Consider the following 16,959-nt stretch of genomic DNA (forward strand, 5'->3'; position numbering starts at 1 on the left):
GCCTTCCCTGGTGTCCTCCTTGTCAATAGCCAGCGGTATTAGGTGCCTCTCTCCACCCACACCACAATGCCTTACTTGGGTCACTGTGCGCTTCCCGCATTATGTCATGACTGTCTATTTATGTGCATGACTCTCCCACTGGACTGTGAGCTCCAGGTGCTCAGGAATGTATTTTGTTCATCTCTTTATCTCTGGTGCCTGGCACATCTGAACAGGCCAAGAAATGCTGGTTGACATAGTCATTAAGCTAAGATGCTGGACATAGGGGTCCAGGTAGTGACTGAAGATGGCATGCATTGAGACTCAGACAAATTTCTAAAGTCTGCAGGGTGGAGAACAGCACGGAGTCATGAAGTGTGTTTTCCATGTCTGATACAATATGTTTTATTTTATGTATTTTCTGTGTGCAAGAGAGAGAGCAGGAAGATTTGACTGTGTCTTACCAGTGGCTGGGAGATCTCTTCTCACGTTAGAAGAGACTTGAGGAACATGAGCTGGGGCTCTATTTTTTCCTTATGACAATGTGAGCTCCCAACTCTGGACTCCAAATCTAGTGCTCTCTTCTTTAGCCTGCAGGAGGGCAGGGACTGTGTCTTTTTTCGTATTGGTGCCAGGTCACAGAGTTGGTGCTCAGAGAACATTTGTGGAATGAGTGGCTGAATGAATGAACAAACATATGGAGGAAGGAACTCTTGCCATCCAGTGAGATTCATCAGGGAAGGCTTGAGGGGATGCGCATTGAGCGTAGCTATGAAAGAGACAGGGGCATGGGTTGGCGAAGATGCCGAGAGGACTCTGTGGTTGAGTGGTTGGAAGAAGGCTGTTGGTGCCCCTCTTGGTGCCTACCCTAATGAGATGGCCAGGCTGATGCTGACTTGGAAGGGCCCTGTCTTGGGAGAAGGGAGGGTGGGGAACTGAGGGAAGTCATACAAAGACACAGGCCCAGAGAGGGCTTCCCCCTTATATTCTGCTTCCTTTCCTCCAGAACTTGGAGACATTACTAAGATTCCTTGAATCCCTAGGGCAGGGTTGGGGGTGGGGTGGTAGTGGGGGCAGTTCTAACAAATGAGTCTGGACAGAGGCATGTGGAGTGTGGCCCAGAGAAAAGGGGAGGAGGGGAAACATATATTGCAAGCTTGGAGAGAAGGAAGTTCTATTTTGGGTGACTTTAAATCCCAGCCCCTCTGCCGGCCAGATTCACAGCAGACCTCCCCCCTGTGCAGAAGATTCCCTCATTCTCAGTTCTGTGCACTGGCTTTGGCTCCATTTTGGCTCACATCGCTGCATCCTTTAAGACTTAGTTCATTCATACTTTGGTGTTCTATCTCTTGGTATGCTTGCCTGCATCTAAAACCTCCCCCCAGCCTTCCAGCCTTCTTAAAGAAGGCATCCCTAAATAACAGCAGCAAAAATGACATCTACAGTTTATCCACATTTCTGCTATGGCCCTGCACCACCCTGGGTGCCTTATGTGTCCTTCAACTCACAAGAAAAACGCGAGGTCATTATTACTGTGATCTCTAGTTGACAAATGAAGACACTGAGCCCATGACAGGTCAAGTAAACCAGGCAAGGTCATATTGTTAGTTGGTGGCAAAGCTGTACCTAGAACCCAGGTATGCCTAACTCCAAAGCTCCATTGTCATCTCTTCTCACAGCTACAGAGCCTTCTCTCTAAATCAGAAACTCTGGGGTGGGGCCCAGCAATCTGCATTTTAACAAGCCCTCCAGGAAATTCTGATGCAGGATAAAGCTTGAGAACGGCTGGTTTGGCTGATCTGGCTCCGACCTGGCTGCAAATCTCCACGTCCACCCTAGATTTGGGGGAAAGCCCATTTGTTAACTGCCATTACTCATCCTTACTATTCTATTTACTAGCTCCGGATAGAGGGCAAGATACTCAAGTTTCCTGAGCACTTGTTTCCCTAGCTGTAAAATAGGAACAATTCCAGCTCTTCTAGAGGCACTGCCCTGGTTTCTGGTTTCCAAGAGAAGATCTTCTGTGAGTGGCTGTCAATACTCAGCACCTTAGCATCACCTGGGGGAACTTTTACAAAATATTAATGCCCACTCCCTCCCTTCCCAGACTAAGTCAACATCTCTGGGAGTGGGCCTGGGGCATGAGTAGCTCTGATGTGCATGTAGGTAGAGAAACCTGCTGCCCACTCTCAGGCTTCTCCCTTCCTATCACTTCCTCAAAGGAAGAGCCAAGGCATCTCCAACTGGTGACTCTCGAAGAAGTATGAGCTGGGCCTGTCAACTGCCTCCCCCGTCTCTCTTGGATCTGCCACCTGCAGGGTGGGTGCATCTTGGCAGTGGGGTCAGGAGCTTGCTCCTATGGGGAGGTCCATAGTCCCCATCCTATGCCAGTGATTGGATGTGTGAATTGGCGTCATTCATGGGTGGAATATTAGGAGTGCATTTGGCCAGTAAACCCACATCCTTCCAACAGCTCTATCATAAACATAGCTGCTATTCTCGAACTCCTGACCTCAGGTGATCTGCCCACCTCAGCCTCCCAAAGTGCTGACCAATATGATGAAACCCCGTCTCTACTAAAAATACAAAAATTAGCCAGGCATGGTGGCATGCGCCTGTAATCCCAGCTACTTGGGAGGCTGAGACAGGAGAATGGCTTGAACCCGGGAGGCAGAGGTTGTGGTGAGCCGAGATCGCACCATTGCACTCCAGCCTGGGCAACAAGAGCGAAACTCCATCTCAAAAAAAAAAAAAAAAAAAAAAAGAAAAGAAAAAAAGAAATGGCTGCTATTTTGACCTTTATCAGGGGCTTCATGTGTCTGTTTCTCAACTGGTCCTGAACTTGAGCATGAAGGGGAAATTTTTATGTATGGCCCCTACAAAACCCCAATGCCATATATTTTACAGAGTTATTGCTGAATTTAATGAGATGGCATATTCAAGCCAGCTAGTTAGTTGGTGGTCAGTAAATGTTTGCTGCACCAGAATCAAAACAGGCCCCCTCTGATATCAGCCTTACACTCTCCCTGTGGGATGGACCTCCCAGCCTCAAACCACCTGTACCACCAGCCCATGGCTGACAGATAATTCCCTAATCACCACTTCACTCAAGTCAGTCCACACGGATGCTTCTGGTAGGGATTTGCAGAAGATCTGCAGGTGAGAGAGTAGAATGGGGCTGTTTGGTTAAGCATGTCTGGGCTCTAGGCACAGTGTTGCCAGCAACTAGCAATCTGACCTCACCTGGTTGCCTCAGCCTCTCTGGGGCCCAATGTCTTCATTTGTCAACTAGAGATCACAGTAATAATGACCTCACATTTTTCTTGTGAGTTGAAGGAGGACACATAAGGCACCCAAGGAGGTGCATGGCCCATAGAAGAAACGTGGATAAATTGTAGATGTGGATTATTATTGCTATTATTATTGAAGATGGCACCACCTTTTCAAACAAATTCCCGGGTGATGCTGATGCTGCTGGCCCAGTGACAAATTTTAAGATAACCAGCGCTCAATGAAAACAAAACGCAGGTGAGCTCTGACTTTTGGGAATTGTAGGGAGAGTGGGCTGGTTGGTCGAGGCCTTGCCTGACCTGGATGCAGTCCAGTGTTTGGTAAACTTGCCTACAAATTAGTGTCACCTGGAGAGATTTTACAACTGTCAGAGCCCAGAAGAGTGACCAACCATCCCAGTTTGCCTGAGACTGAGAAGGTTCCTGTGATTTGGGACTTTCTTTTTTCTTTTTCTTTTTTGAGATGGAGTCTTGCTCTGTCACCCAGGCTGGATGGAGTGCAGTGGTGTAATCTCGGCTCACTACAACCTCCACCTCCTGTGTTCAAGTGATTCTCCTGTCTCTGCCTCCTGAGTAGCTGAGATTACAGGCACACACTACCACACCTAGCTAATTTTTGTATTTTTAGTAGAGACAGGGTTTCACCATGTTGGCCAGGCTGGTCTCAAACTCCTGACCGCAAGTGACCCACCCACCTCGGCCTCCCAAAGTGCTGGGATTACAGGCGTGAGCCACCGTGCCTGGCCAGGACTTTCAGTTTTAAAACTAGGGTGATCTTGGACAAACCACGATGAACTGCTCACCCTAGTGGTCCCCCCTCTCTCTCCTCCCACAGAGATTGTTTTAATTGGTTCAGGTTGGGTCTAGGCTAGGCATTGTTTTTTTTTTGTTTTTTTGTTTTTATTTTTTTTAAATGCCCCGTGATTCTACTTTGCAGCCAGGCAGGAAAACCTGAGGGATCCGCTCATAACTTTGGATAGAAAGTGTGAATTGTTAAAAGGTTTGTAAAAATTCTGGCGAAAAAAGAGGAAAGAGAAACGGCAGTAAATTAAACTGCCTGCATCCAAATCTCCTGGGGAACTTGTTAAAATGCAGATTCGTAGGTCTTCCCCCCAGATCTGTTTACTTAGAAACTCTGAGGGCAGGGCCCTGGAATCTTCATCTTTCGTAAATGCACTAGGTAGACTCAAAATGTGCACTTAGTTTGAGATGTTCTGTTGAAAGTGGAAAAAACAGGAATTAAATTGAGAGAAGAGAGCTGGGAAACTCAGGATATTGTTTAAGCAGGTAGTCTGTTCAGTGGTTCTGACCTGAGAACCAGGCTTAGGACCTGAAGCCAAAAGGAAGAATGAGAAGGGTGCAGATGGAGTCCAGAAGAAAGGGGTCAGCCTCAGCCTGGGCTGGAGGTCAGCCAAGCTGGCAAGAAAGGACAATGCCTGAGAGAAATGATTCCAAGCTTAGAGCATGTGCAGGCTCACAGAGCAAGTGTGAGGTGAGTCCACACTGCCAGCAAATCGCAGGAGGCTCTGCACAGCCAGCCTCCCAGAGGCCAGTGAGGGGAGCCCAGTGTTCACACAGGTGAGCACAGACTTGATGCAGGAAGCATTTCTAAGTAGAACCCAGTAGACTGGATATGAAGACTGGATAATCTATAAAATAGAGAACTGTGTGTGGGTGCGGGAGTACCTGTGTGTTGGGGGAGAAGAATGGGAGTTTAAGACAGCTGGGTCATGGCCAGGCGCAGTAGCTCACACTCATAATCCCAGCACTTTGGGAGGCTGAGGCAGGCAGATCACTGGAGGCCAGGAGTTTGATACCAGCCTGGGCAACATGGTGAAACCCTGTCTCTACACAAAATCCAAACATTAGCCAGGTGTGATGGTGCATGGCTATAGTCCCAGCTACTCGGGAGGCTGAGGCAGGAGGATCGCTTGAGTCTGGGAGGTGGAGGTTGCAGTGAGCGAAGATCGCACCACAGCACTCCAGCCTGGGCAATAGAGTGAGACAATGTCTCAAAAAACAAACAAACAAACAAACAAACAGGCAGCTAGGTCAGAACCTGCCTCTAATCCTGGCTCAGTCAGTTTTGTGCTTGTGACCTTGGGAAGGTTGCTTCACTTCACTGAACATTGGTTTCCTTAAAATTGGGATGCTAATACCCACATTTCGGAGTTTCTTGTGAGAATTAAGTGAGATAGTACATATAAAATACCTGGCATATAGCAGTATTTAAGACAAAGGAAGAGTTAAAGATGCTTCTCTGTCTTTGAAGTTCGGGGTGGTCCGAAGGGGGAAGGAAAGGAGAGGTTAGTTGTAGGGGAAGTTGGTGGCACCAGCATTGGCACATCTGAATAGAAATGTAGATCGTTGGAAATATGGAGCTGGAGATGAGGGAAAGGAGAATTTTGGAGTGACCATTGCTGAATTAGTCTGAAGGAAGGAGATGGAGGGGAGTTTTGGAGGGGAGAGGATACAGGAGAAGGCCAGACATCCAGGGTCTGCACCTTGGCAAAGCCCTGGTCTATCTACTATGTGCCAGGCTCTGTGCTGAGCACCAGGGTTCCCATTACACTGTGCGACACTGTCCCTGACCTAAGAAGATCACAACCCAGGGAGAGTGGCTGTAATTCAGGAAACAATAGATCTGCCTGATGTTTGATTATGGGAGAAACACAGGATGCTAAGGAGGAGGAAGGGTGGCCGGGATGGCTTCCAACAGGAAGTGAGGCTTGCTAGGTGTTCCGGCTGAGGTTCCAGGGGAGGGGCTCCAGGAGGAGGGGATCTGGGGGGTAGGGGTCCCACGGGGAGGGTTCCATGGGGGGAAGCTCCAGGGGCAGGGTTCCAGGGGGAGGGGCGCTGGGAAGAGGGGCTCCAGGGGGAGGGGTTCCAGGGTAGAGGGAACTCCTTGGGGAAGGGTTGGGGAGGGGCTTCTAGGGCGAGGGTTCCAGGGGGAGAGGCTCCAGGGGGAGGGAGTCCCAGGGGGAGGGTTCCATGGGGAGGAGCTCCAGGGGCAGCAGGGTTCCAGGGGGAGGGGCGCTGGGAAGAGGGGCTCCGGGGGGAGGGGTTCCAGGGTAGAGGGAACTCCTTGGGGAAGGGTTGGGGAGGGGCTTCTAGGGCGAGGGTTCCAGGGGGAGAGGCTCCAGGGGGAGGGAGTCCCAGGGGGAGGGTTCCAGGGGGGAGGGAACTCCTTGGGGAAAGGTGGGGGAGGGCCTCCAGAGGGAGGGCCTCTACATGGAGGGATTCCTGGGAGGAGCTCTGACCTGAGTGGCTTCGGCTGAATCAGAGAGGCTAGAGAGAGCTTGGAGTTCTCAGGGCAGGTGGATCAGATTTCACATCGTTCACAACTTGAGGAGGGAGAACTGAGAAAAGGCTTCTGAAGGGGTGACAGGATGGAAAAAGGTGACACACAGCAGGCACTTTCCAGGATGAGGTGGGTAAGTGGCTTCAACACTGGGCACTGAGGAGGGAGATCCCTTCAGTGGCAATAATCGGGGTAGAGCTTGCAAGGATGTCTGGGTTGAAAAAAGGCAATTTAGAAATGGGGAGTCCATTCAAGGACTGTTCTCAGGGCTTGAGGATTGGCCTGTGTTCTCAGAGGAAATCTCAGCTTCTGTAGCCTGAAGTCCTGGAGCCAGAGTCTCGTTTCCGTCAGAGAAAGCATCCCTCAAAGCACAGAGACGAAAAATATCTCATACCTTTTACATGCAAGATGCCTTTTGTTGACAGAGAGGAGGGGGAAATTAAAAACAGAAATGAAACAAACAAATGAAAACATCCTGCATTTATCTGAGAATTCCAAGACCTGATTTAACCATGCAGGTTTATAAAGAAGCATTCCTTTGCCACTTGCTGAGGGTCACTTGAGAAACCTATTGAGGGTGCCTGGCCAAGGCCTGGATGCCTTCATGGATTGAAGGACCTGAGTCATTGGCTGGGCCATGAAGGTTCATTCCTGGGGTGTTAACCACTTTCTCCACTCTGCCTCTCCCCACACGCTGCTGTTAGATGTCGTTCCTTTAGGAAGAGCTCACGGAGGACTGAGGACCTGCTGCACACATTCCACTGCGCCAGGAGCTATTCTCATGGACTCAGAGTCTAGATGGGGGAGAAGTTAATTGGTATAAAAAACATACACGTGGCCAGGTGAGATGGCTCATGCGTGTAATCCCAGCACTTTGGGAGGCCAAGGCAGGAAGATCTCTTGAGGTCAGGAGTTGGAGACCAGCCTGGCCAACATGGTGAAATCCCGTCTCTACTAAAAATATAAAAAATTTGCCGGGCGTGGTGGTGCATGCCTGTAAACCCAGCTACTTGGGAGGCTGAGGCAGGAGAATCGCTTGAACCCGGGAGGCGGAGGTTGCAGTGAGCCGAGACTGTGCCACTGTACTCCAGCCGGGGCAACAGACAGAGACTCCGTCTCAAAATAAATAAATAAATAAAAATAAAATCAATGAATACAAGATATTAAATAACGTATGTAATGAAGTATATAATGAAGTGTCCTATAAACAGCAGACAAAAAGTGCTTTGAGTTTATTTAGGAGAATGCAGGTAGGTTGGAGTGGTTAGGGAGGCTGCTTGGGGAAGGTGGCATCTGCAGTGGGGATGGATGAGAGAAGAGGGGGAGGAAGCAGGGGAGGTGGGCATGAGATTGGGGTGAGGGGTAATGTTGAGAATCCGCATGTGGAACGAGCAAGTCTATTCTTTACTATGTTTCAAAGCTAAAATAGTCTCCTGCTTTTATTATTTAATTTCAGAAGGATGTAGAAGCTTCGTGTATGCTTAATGTCATGTCATCACATTGATGATATGTCTTATAATTGATAGGGTCAAGAATTCAGGAAATATAGCAATTTATTTTTTATCATACCAATTTTTAAAAACTTTATTTTTTAAATTGACAGATAACAGTGTAGCAATTCATTTAATCCTTTAGCTCTTATCAAGTTCCTGCTGTGTGTATGGAAAGAGCACTGCGGGGGGAGTTGGAGATAAAAATGTCCCTGCCCTCTAGGAATTTCAGTCCCTTGAGCAATGGTGCATTTAAGGAGGAATGAGTGGGACAACATGGTCGGAAAGCAGGGAGTGTGGAGTGGAGGAGTGGGGTGCGATGGGGAAGAAAGATCAGGGTGGGGAGTAGTCCAGCAGTTACTGAGATGTAGATCAACGCCGCTTGAACAGGAAGCCACCCCAGATTAAAGTAACTTGTCTCTGTTCAGTCTTGACCATTCAGGGACTGTGGGTGACATTTTTGGAAACACACAAGGAGTGGCCAGCCAGGCCGCTCTTCCTGGGAAAGGCTGCCTGCGCTGGCTGCTGGAGAAGATGGGCAGGGCCAGCTGCATGATTTGCGGGCCCAGCACAAAATGAAAATGCAGGACTCCTTGTTCAAAAATTATTAAAAGTTTCAAGATGGCAATAGCAGAGCTTTAAACCAAGCGCAGGGCCCTTCTGAGTGTGCCCAGCTCGCATGCCCAAGAGGCCGATCCTGAAGGTGGGACAGCCTGGACCTTTCTGTGACTAAGTGTGTGGTGAGACGATGGGGCCCAATTGCTGCCTGTGAGTAGGTACAGGGTTTGGTCATGCAAGCACTGAGTTCTTTCCTGTGAGCTGGGATGGGGAGATGGGGAAGAGATGGGAAGTGCACCATAGGAGGTGCTGTGGCTGTGGGGATGCGTGTGGTGTACAGTGATGCTGCCATTTACGAGCTGTGTTCTGCTTGCAGTGGGAAGGCTGTATCTGAATGTTGGAATCAGTCAGACTGAGGTCACATGTTTTATCAACTTTACTAACTTGGGCAAGTTACTGATTTTCTCTGAGCCTTAATTTCCTTATATGTAAAAATGGAGATCATATTACTGCTTTTGCAGGATGCTAGCATACTTAAATAATAGTTGTAAAATTTTGAGCCTAGCCTAGCTTTTAATAAATACTAGTATTCTCTTTTCTAGAAATGTGTGAAATATTTATGTTTTAAAGCATGGAGCATGGAATAGTTTGGAATATATTATTGTCAGCAACTTTCTTTTTCTATTTCAAGCTCAATGGGGATGCAGCTAAAACCTACCACCCTGATTTCAAATAGCAGAGGTGGGGGGTTGAGGGGAGGTATGCCCCATTGTAATATACACCCAAGGGAAACCCAGTTACATCTGCTGGACACACACACACACACACACACCCCACCCAGAGCTAAATCGAAGCTGGGTTGGAATGTGATACTGTGTTACAGGAAGAGCCCTAGTTTGGGCATCGTCTCCTGGTTTTGAACCTCAGGGTCCTCATCGGTCAAAAATTCTGACCTCTCTGGGTTGTTGTAAGATTAAATGAGATGCATGTGTGGATACTCAGTCTCCGGTCTATGGCGGATGTAAGCGTCCTTTGAATGAGTCTGTGCTCCCAGGCCATAGTGTGGTTCATGGGAAAAAGAAGAAAAGACATTGCCTTCTCAACAGTAACATTTCCTAAATATTATGCTTGGGCAACTCCTTTATAAACGAAGAGCGGGCTGATCAGAAATTGGCACGGGGGCTGATTTCCAGCGATCTTACTGTTTCCTCTGCTCATATACTTTGGGGAGTTGCCTGGGAGTTCTTTCTACTTAGATTTGGAAGTCGGTACAAGCATGTGTGTTTGCTTTTTGGAGATGGACACATATATGCATACCATACATGCACACATACATCACCTACACCCCTCCACCACACATACATACACCACACACACCACACATATACACCATACACATACCACATGTACACAAACCCCATCACACACACTACACACACCACACATACACACCCCCCCACACATATACATACACCACACATGCACATATACATCAACTACACCCTTACCACACATACATATACAACACATATATACCATACACACATACCACATGTACCCAAACCCCATCTACACACACATTACACACATATACACCACACATACACACACCACACACATACACATACACCAGACATGCACATAAACCATCTACACACACATCCACACATGCTCATACATTACACACATATCGCACATACACACCACACATACACAAACCCCATCTATACACACATCACACAGATACCACGTGTATACACCACACATACACATCCCATACACATCCCATACACATCACACATGCACAAACATACACATATACACACACCACACATACACATTCCCTACCTACACACACCACACACTCACCACACACACCGCACACATACCACAAATATATGTACCACACCACATACACATATACCACACATGCGCATACACCAAGTACACATACCACACATATGCTACCTACACATACATAAACATACACCATACCACATACACACATAAATACATACCACACACACATACCACTCCCCACCGCTTCACCCAGAGAGTCAAAGATATGCATTCATGTCTTCTCTCTCCTCCTCCCTCTCTCTTCCTGTCTTTAGTGAGCATCTCCTATACTTGCTTGTCCAGTGCACAAGGACTCAGGGTCCTCCTGGACCCCACTCAATCCACATCCCTCCCGATGCTTTGTCCTGAAAACTCCGTTTCACAGCTCCCATTCCTAGTCCTCTTTGCCATCTCGTCTGCCTCTAATAAATTTCTGGAGTGTGACCTAGGCTGTGAGTGCCCTGTTCTTATCCACCCAGGGCCCTAGGCTGCTGTCAATTCAGCTGAACTCAGGAATGCAGAATAACTCGAGAAGCACATCATTCAGAGAGCTGTTTGCAGGGTGGCTAGGAAAGGGGGAAATGAGAGAGGTTGGCCCTGGTCTCAGCACGGGATCACGTGGGGCTGGTTTGGAGCCTGGTATTTGGGAATAAAACAAATGCATCCAAGGCGTTTTAGAAAAAGGTGCTGAGAATCATTCACAGGATGGGGCATTAGGGATTGAAGACAAAGGACAAAAGGGACTCTGAGCTTGGGAGACTATAGCTCTGTAAGGGCAGGAGCTGTGTCTGATGAGTTTACCTGCACGTACCCAGCCCCAAGAGCAGTGCCGGGCATACAGTAGGTGCTAAAAATCAATGGTGGTTGGATGAATAAATGAGCAAATGAGTGAATGATGAACTAAAGGGAGTTCATGGGATAGGATTCAATTCAAACAGCATCATTTAACGCCTCATATACTGTCTGACACAGATTCTAGTGATGGGGTAGAAGAAACTACTAGACAATATGTAGTTTGACTGGCTCATTTACAGACAGGGCCCAAAGTACTTATGTTCTCTTGCCCAAGGTGTTTTCAATCTCCTATGGCATCAATAACCCTATGTTGGACTTCTGTTCTTGATCTTTGGTAGCATCTCTGAGTATTCCCAGCTCTCATTCTACTCTACGACGCCTCCTCTAAACCATGTTTATGAGCAGAAGGTTTAGGGTGGACTAGAACCCCCGCTGGGCTACAGTTCTGCAGACATTCCGCAGATTCAAACCTTTGTACTTCCCTTATCATAACCACATCCACGCTTTTTTTTTTTTTTTGAGACGGGGTCTCGCTCTGTTGCCCCACATCCACACTTTATTATATTTATTTGTCTCTCTTCCCAACCAAACTGAACTCATGCTTATTTTACATTTTTACAGCTCTTAGCATGGTACTTAGGGGCCCAACAAATATTTGTTTGAAAGAACGAATGAAGTGGTGAAATTGTACACACAACATTTAGGAGGAGGAAAGGAGTCACCCTGGATCTACATTTTCAACCACATTTGCCTTTCAGGGGCCAGCTCAGCTCCCATCCTACCCCCTAGTTACTGCCCCATCCCAGTCTGCCCTCCCTGAGGAGATGGACTGTGCCTGTGGGTCCTGAGGCAGGAGCAGGGGCCTTTCTGGTAGAAAGGCAGGAAGGTCACCTTGTACTGCAGAAGGCACAGCCCCGGGGGCCAGGTGGGGCCATGTGCACAGGCCCTGCTGTGTTTCTAGGGCAGAGTTGGCCTGACAGAACCTCAAGGTCCTTCCCTCAAGAGTGACAGAATGCTTTTTGTGCTGGGACCCTGGGAGAGAGGATCAGGAATAGTAGCCAGTGGGGGCTTCTCCCAGTCCTGGGCTGTGGAACGGTGCTGAGGCCTCAGCGATGGGTTGCTCTGGTGGGAGAGCTGGGAGTGGAGCACAGAAGAAAGCTGGAGGCTCCTTTCCCTGCGCCTTTCAGTAACAGCAACCCCGTCTGTGTGAGCCGGAGGAGGGGCTTGGCTTCTGGAAGCAGAGGGGGCGAGGCCTCGGGTTCTCCTGTGTAGGGTGATTTCCCTTTGGCCAGGAGCCCCAGACTTACGGCGCTAATGGGTAGCAGAGACATGGGCGCTAAAATTCCTTCTCTTTCACTTCATAGCTGTTGCCCAGAGAGCTCTCCATGCTCCCCAGGTTCATAGTCAGCCCAGGTCCTTGCTCTGTGTGTCCAGCCCCTCATCCTCTCACTCACGTGCCGGCACCCCTCCGTGGCACCACCAGCATCCACCCCTTCCTCTCTATTCTTGGCGGTTCAGGGTCTCATTCCCTTCTACCCAGACACACAGACTTGCCTCCCAACTCTTCCACTCTTCCACTTCTCCCTCTTGTCTTCCCACCCCATACAGTGCCACCAGAAATGTCTCTTCTAATCTCAGACCTCACAAACTCTCTCCTCTACCATAAGTCAAGGAACTAATCAACAGCAAGCCACACACTCTCCAATGGCTTCTTCCTTCTTCCCCTGGCACTCAAGGCCCTCCTTTTTCTGGCTGTAGTTTTGGTTCCCACTGCACCTTTTTGAGCCCTGAGAGGTGCAGTGGAACCACCCTAGTAGAGCTTCTCATTCATCTGGGCTGTCGTTGTGCCAGGTTCTCACTCTGGCATGCCACTTGTTGAGAATGCTTTCCTGGACACCCCTGAGCCCCTGGCATGTGCTGACGCCCTCTCTTCTTCTGAGGCCCAGCTTCATTGACACTTCTTCTGGTGAATGTTCCAGATCCTTCCAGCCAGAAGTCACTCTTCCCCACCTACAGTCCCAGGGCCTGGAGCCGCACCTCCTTGCCTCCCTTACATCCTAGGATCTGATGTCAGGCTCATCTAAGATACCCAGAACATTGCTTTATACATGGCATTTACTCGGTGGGTGGGTGGATGAATGGATAAATGAATGAATGAATATTTGACCATGACCTTGGAGAACTATCATCTGCTTGTTTAGTGCCCTAGTGAGTCAAAGAAACCTTTATTCTCTTTATCATTTCTCAAAATGAGAAAAACAGTTGGAAAATCCTCAACTCCCACCCTCACCCCCAAGTTTGAGAAATGCCACTCTGAGGGATTTTCAGTTTCACTTTTCTGGAAAGACGTTCCTTTCTCTCCTTCCTCTTCTCGGGTCTCAGCGATGCCCCCTGTGTCTCCCACCCCTAGGCCTGCACAGAGGGGACTCAGAGGCCGAGATAATTTACTTTTGCTTTCTTTGCCTTTTCCAGAGCATAGGGGGAAACCGTAATTTAGGCGGCTGCTAAGAATAGCTCCCCCAATCCTGGAAAGAGCGTGTGCTTATTTTTGAAAGTGCTCCTTGTCTCTCCCCCAGCCCTGCCTGAGGCTCACAGTACAAGTCAGTCAAATTGTTCAGGGCAGCAGTGGTGTCTGGAGACCTGGTTTGAGTTCCTAGGTTCATACCTAGCGTCCTTCTGAGCCTCAAGTTTCTTCGTCTGTAAAAAGAGAAGATGAAAGTTTGAGATAAACCTCGAACATGGTAGGTGCTCAATAAATAATTACATCTTTATTATGGTTGGAATCACTAGATTTAGAGGGCAACGCTCTCAATGGGTCAGATAGTACAAGTGAGGAGCCAGTACGATATATTAAGTGGAATCATATGAAATCGGTGTTTCTGTGGACTAAAAATAATTGGATATTGTCAGTTGCGTAGGAATCAATCCAGTAATCCAGGAGTTGGCAGTCTTTCTATAATGGGCCAGATAGTAAGTGTTTTTGGCTTTGTGGGCCATACGGTCTCTGTTGCATGGTAGTAGCCGTAGACAATACTTAAATGAATGTGCATGACTGTTCCAGTAAAACTGTATTTGGGAAAACAGTCCGTGGGCTGAACATGGCCCCTGTAATATCTGCCAAGCCCTATAGTAATATGTAAAACTAATGAAATTACAGAAAGAAAACTCTCTGTAATACCGTCAACATTCAGGTATCTTCGCAAGTAGAACAGCAGCTTATCTGTGTAGCTATTAATAGTCTTTACTTTTACTAGGCTCTATTCCAAATGCTTTACAAATATTAACTACTTTAATCCTCCTGACAACCCTATGAATTATGTACTATTATATTTCCCCTGTTTTATGGCTGAAGAAACTGAGGCTCAGAGAGGCCAAGTAACTTGTTTGAAGTCACCTGGTTAGAGTTGATGGCAACTGAACAGAATTCAACTGAGTGTGTAGGGTAGAGTTGGGTGATGGTAATTCAACAGCTTCAGGGAGGAAGTGGATGGATTAGAGCTAAGAGGAATCCCCAGGTCTGCTTGCTGTCCACCAGCTTGAGGAGATGGTCTGCAGAGGCTTGGGGTGGAAGCAGGTGTGGTGTAGGTGGGCAGTGGGGAGATGTGTGGGCAGAGAGTCTGGTAGTGTCTCTTGGGACACGAGATGGAAAAGCATAGATTCTTCCTTTGGGAGCCAGGCCCCAAGCTGAGCCTGGGGCCATTTCCTGGGTGACTCCCAGCAGCACGTGGCACGTGGAGGGTCAGCATATAGGGAGCAATGTCCGCCTGTGGAGCAGGAAATTGTTTACATTCCTTATGTTCCATGCAGCAGCTCTGGGAAGCTCTGAGCCCCATTCCCAGCCCCAGCCCCAGGGGACCTGGTGGGGAGAGGAGGGCAAAGGAATAGGCTCCCCAGGATGCCCGCAGCTCTGCCATCAAACCAGGGTACTCGCATACCCTTTCCATTTGCTTTGCCTGTTGATTTAGCCACCAAAGGATGAAGCCACTGGTCAGGACTCTGGGCTCACACATGCTGTGCTCTTCCTTCTGTGCCTCTGCTTATGCCGTTTTCCTTGCCTGGATTGCCTTTTCCCTCCCCTTGCACCCTTCCTTGATTTTCTCCTCTCTTTCAAGGCTGGCTCAATGTCTGCTCCTCCTGGAAGCCTGCCCTGACTTCCCCTTTACCCCCCACCTCCCAGGCTGGACCCGGTCCTCCTTCTCAGGGCTGCCCAAACACCTCGTTCTCTAACTCTCCTTGTTGTCACTGCCTGGACTCTCCTTGCTTTCCCACTAGAAGGAGACTTTTAGGAAAGGGATCACACCTTGTTTACTCCTGGGTCCTCATCACAGGTCAGTGTTCAACACATGGCTAGAAGCTGGTCAAAAGCACATTTGTTTGAATGAGACACTACTGTCCTCAAACGTAGCCCTTTCACTTCTAAAACTTGGTCTTTGGGCAACTTGCCTGACCTCTGAGACTCTTAATGTCATCATCAGTAAGAAGGGATCGTGGTATCATTGTAGGGTTGGGGGAATAAATGAGATAATGCAGAAAATTATCAGTATAATACCTGGTTCTCAGTAGGTACCTTGGAAGTGACCAGGGACAGATAGTCAATACCATGTCCTTGTCCTGTTACCCCTGTGTCTGAAGGTAGGAAAGGAGGCAGTTTGATAGGAGGCAATTTGAATGTCCCAAAGCAATAGCATTTTCCGCAAGAGCTAGAGGAGGGGCTCATGAGTCAGCTTTGGTTCTGTGACAAGACCACTAGGCTTAGAGTAAGAATACTTACTTGTGAGTCCTAGCTCTATCTCTTAGCAGCTGGGTGTCATAGAGCAAGCCATGTAACAGCTCCTGAAGCCTCAATATTTTTATCTGTAAGAGGGTATAATAATAACCACCTTATAAGGTCATTGTGAAGCTGAAATGAGATTGCCCAGCTGTGAGAACACCTGGCCCAGCTCACAGGAAATGCAGAATCATGAATTATTAATATGAATCTGTGTAACACTTGAGAAAACTCTGAGCAGATCTCAGCTTAGGATACTTTCTGGACGTGTGCCTTATGGCTTAGTGGCTTACTGCTTTAGAGTCAGACAGTCCTGGGTTTGAATCCTAGCTATGTCCCTAACTAGCTATGTGACCTTAGGCAAGCTACTTAACCACTCTGAACCACAGTTTTTGTGGCTTTTGTTTTTGTTGTTGCATTTTTGGTTTTTTCTCCATAAGTTCTATAAAATGAAGCCAGTTATCTCAGAGAGTTGTCGAGGGAATAAAATGTCGACATAGCCAGTGTCTGGCATGTAGGAAAGTCTCAAGTGTTAGTATTATTCTGCTTCTATGTAAGACTGAGGGATAAACACTGATGATATGGGGCTTTTGAAGTCCTGAAATGTAAAAGCTGGTGTGTGCAGTGGCTAGGGGTTAGGGTTTGAGGGTAAGGGCTAGGATTGCATCTTTACCAACCAAATGGAAGGAATCAGCTCAAGTGGTAGGAAGTCCTTCCTGGCTCGGAGAGCAATGTGGGGGAAGCGCTCAGTACAGGCAGAGGACAGCCCCTTGGGAAGCCTTTGGGAATAGGATCGCGCAGGCAGTATGAAAGGTCAGAGCTGGGAAAGTCCTTGGAGGTCTTTAGTCAAACCCTGCCATTGCACAGAAAGGAAACTGAGGCCCAGAGAGACTAACACCATGGCCTGCTGAACTCCCGCTGGTGAGTGACAGAACTGGG

At 48.2% G+C, this 16,959-nt stretch overlaps 1 protein-coding gene across 19 annotated transcripts in view, besides 1 other annotated feature; it reads left to right on the forward strand.

Moving 5' to 3' along the window:
• Positions 1 to 16,959, forward strand: part of DAAM2 (dishevelled associated activator of morphogenesis 2) — a 112,494-nt gene that overhangs the window by 42,568 nt on the left and 52,967 nt on the right. For 3 of the 19 annotated variants that reach the window (XM_047418537.1, XM_047418535.1, XM_047418538.1), the window contains one exon: positions 13,829 to 13,993. The exons of 14 other annotated variants lie outside the window; for them this stretch is intronic. The gene's annotated coding sequence lies outside the window, so the exon portion shown is untranslated. Of the gene's footprint in view, positions 1 to 6,600; positions 6,704 to 13,828; positions 13,994 to 16,959 lie in introns of those variants that run through there. 2 more of the 19 variants (XM_047418539.1, XM_047418540.1) reach the window with 2 other exon arrangements.
• Positions 14,575 to 15,075: an enhancer, noted in NCBI's record as "H3K4me1 hESC enhancer chr6:39817294-39817794 (GRCh37/hg19 assembly coordinates)". NCBI's record gives its function as "activates a minimal SCP1, AML or CMV promoter by ChIP-STARR-seq in primed H9 embryonic stem cells {active_cell/tissue: H9 hESC(primed)}" and the evidence as "EXISTENCE:reporter gene assay evidence [ECO:0000049][PMID:30033119]".

Source organism: Homo sapiens, chromosome 6 (assembly GCF_000001405.40).
Source record: "Homo sapiens chromosome 6, GRCh38.p14 Primary Assembly".
NCBI classification, from domain to species: Eukaryota; Metazoa; Chordata; class Mammalia; order Primates; family Hominidae; genus Homo; species Homo sapiens.